Consider the following 1642-nt stretch of genomic DNA (forward strand, 5'->3'; position numbering starts at 1 on the left):
GATGATAGTTTCCTTTGCTGTGCAGAAGCTTTTTAGTTTAATTAGACCACATTTGTCAATTCTGGTTTTTGTTGCCATTGCTTTTGGTGTATTAGTCATGAAGTCTTTGCCCGTGCCTATGTCCTGAAAGGTATTGCCTTGGTTTTCTTCTAGAGTTTTTATGGTTTTAGGTCTTATGTTTAAGTCTTTAACCCATCTTGACTTAATTTTTGTATAAGGTGTAAGGAAGGGGTATAGTTTCAGTTTTCTGCATATGGCTTGCCAGTTTTCCCAACACCATTTGTTAAATAGGGAATCCTTTCCCTGTTGCTTGTTTTTGTCAGGTTTGTCAAAGATCAGATGGTTACAGTTCTAGAGTCTAGGAAGTTCAAGATCAAGGTACCAACAGATTTGGTGTGTGACGAGGGCCTGCTTCCTTGTTCATAGACAATGATCTTGCTGTATCCTCATATGGCCAAAGGAACAAAGGAGCTATCTGCCCTCGTTTATAAGGGTACTATTTCCCTTCAGGAGGGCTCTGTCATCATGACCAAATCACCTTCCAAGGGCCCATCTTCAAATGCCATCACATTTGGCATTAGGTTTTAACAAACAAATTTTTGGAGGATATAAATTCAGCTAGCATAATGTTTAAATTCGAATAAACTTAAAAGTAGTATTTCTTTATCTTTGATTATCGACACCTGATTGACTCTTGCTTGTTCACCACTCAGCAGAACATTGAAGGTTTGGGGGCAATAGGGGTTGCCCAATGAGTGAGATTCTGAGCCTTCCTTTATCTGCAAACAATTCAGCTCCACATGAGCTTTGCATACTCGGCTTTTATCTAAAAATTTGTTTCAAGAAATAGAGAACTAATACAGCAATATTTTAACACTTGTTAACTCTAGCTGGTGGGATACATGAGTATCTGTAATACCTATTATTCTGCTTTTCTCTAGTTTTGAAATATTTCTTAATTAAAAATTAATGTTTCAAAAACTATTTTTGAAATGGCTCCATATGTTTAAAAAATTCATTTAACTTTATTGCTGTTTCAGGTCACCCACAAATTAATTGAGAATGAGTGAAATTAATAATGCTTCATCTAGTGGATTATTTTAATGATGTTCAGGGTTTTGAATGGATGTGGGAATGGTGGGAAATTGTCATTGTTATAGCCACACTCTAATACCAAACATACAGAGGGATCTATTGTGCTGTTCCTTCCAAGATTTCTGGTCTATTCTTCCTCCAAGATAATAGAATTTTTAGACAGGCAAATGAGCAGTCAGAAAAGGTCTATATTTTCAACGTCCTTTATTTTATTTTTTACAGCAAGTTGTGACCATGTAACTGAGTTTAGCTCAGTGGTACATATTTGTAGTATCAGGAGGTGCCTTCTAGGACCCTACCCTAGGAGATAGCTGCTTCACACCTTTGCCCTTTTCAGAGAAGAAAGTCCCATCTAGCAATGCAGAGGACATTCCACTGTTTCTGATACTGTCAAGTTCCTGAATATCCTTTCTGAAATACAGATGTACTGTCTGAGACTCAGTCTTAGAATATTAAATGAGACCCATTCCTTAAGGAAGGGAAAACTGAACATTTTGGGTTTGTGTTATTTGTAAGATGAAAAAGAACTGATTTATGTGCTGTTTTA

This window comes from Homo sapiens, chromosome 5 (assembly GCF_000001405.40).
Source record: "Homo sapiens chromosome 5, GRCh38.p14 Primary Assembly".
NCBI classification, from domain to species: Eukaryota; Metazoa; Chordata; class Mammalia; order Primates; family Hominidae; genus Homo; species Homo sapiens.